A 4,778-nucleotide genomic window follows, 5' to 3' on the forward strand; every position below is an offset into this window, starting at 1 on the left:
GTATGAGACAATGATGTGAGCATAAAGCCTATCTAGTTGCATTACAATTACAAAAGATGACTAAAAGGAAAGAAAACAAAAGGTAAAGTCCTGAAAATCTATGTGTATAAAATACATCCAAATGATCTAAATGTATACAAGAATAAATTTACAAGAATATGAAGAAGCTTTATCCTCTAAGTACCTAAAATTTGAACCAATCCCTACCATCTCCTTTTTCCACAAAATACAATATACTATACAATTCCTGTTATAGGGACCACTAGGAAGGAACATGTAGTTTAAAACACATAGTTAAAAAAATTTTGGATTCAAGTTCATCAGAGTACCAATTTTCCTAACCATGTTTCCATAAAGGCCATCGGAAGATGTCACACTATTCAAATGCCCAATGATAAGACTTCTGATGAGACCAAACAGGTCACATTAAATCAATAGAATATCTTAGAAATAAAACCAATATGACTAAATCCAAAACATATCACATGAAGTACCACATGTGCAATACAAACCTACTTTAATAAATAAAAGAAACACAGGTAGCTGCACTCAGGGAGAACATTCAGTTCCTGATGGCCTCTTAGTCTTCTCTGAGACTCCACTGCCACTTCTACCTGGGCAAGTCTAATGGTGCAGCCATGAAGTTTTTAACCATCTTGTCTCATTAATGCCGTGGTGCCAGACTGCACCACAACACCAGCTGGCACATGACAGAGGATTCATGCTCATGGGAATCATATTTGTCACCAATGGGTGTCAGCTTCTCAAGGCCATGCTTGGCAAACACACTTTTCAGCTTTGCTTCTAAAAGTGACAACCGTTGGAAGACCTTCTCCAGAGTGAGCTTCTGGTCCCCAGGCTCTGATTCTTCAGAAATGCACTCTGTAGTCTTCTCCAAAATGTCAGCCACCTCCACCAAGTCCTTACAGAAACTCTGGATTCCAAATATCTTGGCGTCTTCCACACATCTCCGGGTTCACCTCCTTATGTTTTCACAATCAGCTATAGCTCTCCGGTATCTCACCATTAAATCCTGGACTTCCTTCTCCAGTTTAACAACTTTTACCCTTAAGGCTTGTTCAGCAAGAGAGGGCCCAAGGTCATCAGGAAGGTCCTCGGAATGGCAGTCCTCACCAGCGGTTCCCTGGGTGGCAGTGCTGAATGGAAGTGGGCATCCCTTGCTCTCCCATGAGGCACTCTAAGCCAGTAGGTGCTACACCCGCTGGCAGCCCGCCCACGTTGACCACATGGCCATGTTCCCGACTTGGGCTGATGGAAGCAGCACAGGCGCACTTGCTCAATATTTCTTTTTTTAGTTATAATTTTTTTTTTGAGATGGGGTGTTGCTCTTGTTGCCCAGGCTGGAGTGCAATAGCGCAATCTCGGCTCACTGTAACCTCCACCTCCCAGGTTCAAGCCATTCTCCTGCCTCAGCCTCCTGAATAGCTGGGATTGCAGGTGCCTGCCACCACGCCTGGCTAATTTTTTGTATTATTAGTAGAATTGGGGTTTCCTCATGTTGGCCAGGCTGGTCTTGAACTCCTGACCTCAATTGATCCACCTGCCTTGGCCTCCCAAAGTGCTGGGAATACAGGCTTAGCCACCACCTGGCCTATTTTTAATTTTCGTGGGTACATAGTAGGTGTATATAATTATAGGTTACATGAAATATTTTGATACAGGTATGCCATGCATAATAATCACATCAGGGTGATCACCTCAAACATTTATCCTTTGTGTTATAAACAATCCAACTATACTCTTTTAGTTATTTCAAAATGTACAATTAACTTATTTTTTACTATAGTCATACTGTTGTGCTAGCAAATACTAGGTCTTATTCTATTTTTTGTACCCATTAACCATCCCCATTTCCCTCCCACCACTACTATTCTTTCCAGCCTCTGGTAACAATCCTTCTACCATCTATCTCCATGAGTACAATTGTTTTATTTTTACATTTATTTTTGATTTTTTTTTCTTTAAGTTCTGGAGTACATGTGCAGGATGTGCAGGTTTGTTACATAGGTAAGCATGTGCCATAGTGGCTTTCTGCACCTATCAACCCATCACCTAGGTATTAATGCCAGCAGGCATCAGCTTTTTTCCTTAATGCTCTCCCCCATCCCCAACAGGCCCCAGTAAGTGTTGTTCCCCTTTCTGTGTACATGTGTTCTCATTGTTCACCTCCCACTTATAAGTGTGAACATGCCGTGTTTGGTTTTCTGTTTCTGCATTAGTTTGCTGAGGATAATGGCTTCCAGCTTCATCCATCTTTCTGCAAAGGACATGATCTAGTTCCTTTTTATGGCTGCATAGTATTCCATGGTGTATATGTACCACATTTTCTTTATCCAGCCCATCATTGATGGGCATTTGGGTTGATTCCATGTCTTTTCTATTGTGAGTAATGCTTCAGTGAACATATGCATGCATGTATCTTTATAATAGAATGATTTATATTCCTTCGGATATACACCCAGGAATGGGATTGCTGGGTCAAATGGTATTTCTGGTTCTAAATCTTTGAGAAATCACCCTATTACCTTCCACAATGGTTGAACTAATTTACATTCCCACCAACAGTGTAAAAGTGTTCTTATTCCTTTGCAACCTTGCTAGCATCTGTTGTTTGTTGACTTTTTAATAATTGACATTCTGACTGGCATGAGATGGTATCTCATTGTGTTTTTTGTTTGCATTTCTCTAATGATCAGTGATGTTGAACTATTCTTCATGGGTTTGTTGGCTGCATGTATGTCTCTTTTTTTCAGAAGTGTCTCTTCATGTCCTTTTGCTCCTTTTTAATGGAGTTGTATTTTTTAAATGGTAAATTTCCTTGTAAATTCCAGATAATAGACCTTTGTCAGATGGGTAGATTGCAACAGTTTCCCCCCATTCTATAGATTGTCTCTTCTCTCTGGTAATAGTTTTGTTTGCTGTGTAGAAGCTCTTTAGTTTTATTAGATCCCATTTGTCAATTTTTGATTTTGTTGCAATTGCTTTCGATAATTTCATCATAAATTCTTTGCACATGCCTATATCCTGAATGACACAGCCTAGATTTTCTTCTAGGGTTTTTATGGTTTTGGGTTTTACATTTAAGTCTTTAATCCATCTTGAGTTAATTTTTGTGTAAGTTGTAAGAAAGGGATCCTGTTTCAATTTTCTGCCTATTGCTAGCCAGTTCTCCCAGCACCATTTATTAAATAGGGAATCCTTTCCCCATTGCTTGTTTTTTGGGGGTTTGTCAAAGATCAGATGGTTGTAGATGTGCTGTTTTATTTCTGAGTTATATATTCTCTTCCATTGGTCTATGTGCCTGTTTCTGTACAAGTACCATGCTGTTTTGTTTATTGTGGCCTTGTAGTATAGTTTGAAGTAGGGTAGTGTGATGCCTCCAGCTTTGTTCTTTTTGCTTAGAATTGTCTTTAAAATAGTTTTTTTTTCTAATTCTATGAAGAATGTCAGTGGTAGGTCAATTGGAATACCATTGAATCCATAAATTGCTTTGGGCACTATGGCCATGTTCATGATATTGATTCTTCCTATACATGTGCATGGAATGTTTTTCCATCTGCTTGTGTCCTCTCTGATTTCCTTGAGCAGTGGTTTGTAGTACTCCTTGAAGAGACCCTTCACTTCTCTTTTTAGCTGCATTTCTAGGTATTTTACTCTCTTTGTGGCAATTGTGAATTGGAGCTCATTTATGATTTGGGTCTCTGCTCATTTGTTGTTGGTGTATAGGAATGCTTGTGATTTCTGCACATTGATTTTGTATCCTGAGACTTTGCTAGACTTGCTCATCAGCTTAAGAAGCTTTTGGACTGAGATGACGGGGTCACAACAAAGACAATTTGACTTCCTCTTATCCTAACTGAATACCCTTTATTTCTTTCTCTTGCCTGAGTGTCCTGGCCAGAACTTCCATCACTATGTTAAATAAGAGGGGTGAGGGAGGGCTTCTTCGTCTTGTGCCAGTTTTCAAGGAGAATGCCTCTGACTTTTGCAAATTTAGTATGATATTGGCTGTGGATTTGTCATAAATAACTCATTATTTAGAGGTATGTTCCATCAAGACATAGTTTATTGAGAGTTCTAAACATGAAGAGATGTTGAATTTCATCAAATTCAAGGCCTTTTCTGCATCTATTGAGATAATCATGTGGTTTTTCTCTTTAGTTCTATTTTTGTGATGAATTACATTTATTGATTTTTGTATGTTGAACCAGCCTTGCATCCCATGGATGAAGCCAACTTGATCATGGTGCATAAGATTTTTGATGTGCTGCTGGATTCGGTTTGCCAGTATTTTATTGAGGATATTTGCATCAATGTTCATCAGGAATATTGGCCTGAAGTGTTTTGTTGTTGTTGTTGTATCTCTGCCAATTTTTTGTATCAGGATGATGCTGGCCTCATAAAATGAGTTAGAGAGGAGTCCCTCCTTTTCAATTGTTTGTAATAGTTTCAGAAGAAATGGTACAAACTCCTCTTTGTATCTCTGGTAGAATTCAGCTGAAATTCATCTGGACGTGGTTTTTTGTTTTTGTTTTTGTTTTCTTTTTGGTAGGCTATTTATTACTGCCTGAATTTCAGAACTTGTTATTGGTCTATTCAGGGATTCAACTTCTTTCTGGTTGAGACTTTAGAGGGTGTAGGTGTCCAGGAATTTATCAATTTCTTCTAGATTTTCTAGTTTATTTGCATAGAAGTGTTCATAGTATTCTCTGATGGTTGTTTGTATTTCTTTGGGTACAGTGGTGGTATCCCGTTTA

General features: G+C 38.8%; 1 pseudogene; it reads right to left on the minus strand.

The window, feature by feature from the left end:
- Nucleotides 1-381: 381 nt before the first annotated feature.
- GRPEL2P2 (GRPEL2 pseudogene 2) lies at nucleotides 382-1,298 on the minus strand (annotated as a pseudogene).

The sequence above is a fragment of the Homo sapiens genome, chromosome X, assembly GCF_000001405.40.
Source record: "Homo sapiens chromosome X, GRCh38.p14 Primary Assembly".
NCBI classification, from domain to species: Eukaryota; Metazoa; Chordata; class Mammalia; order Primates; family Hominidae; genus Homo; species Homo sapiens.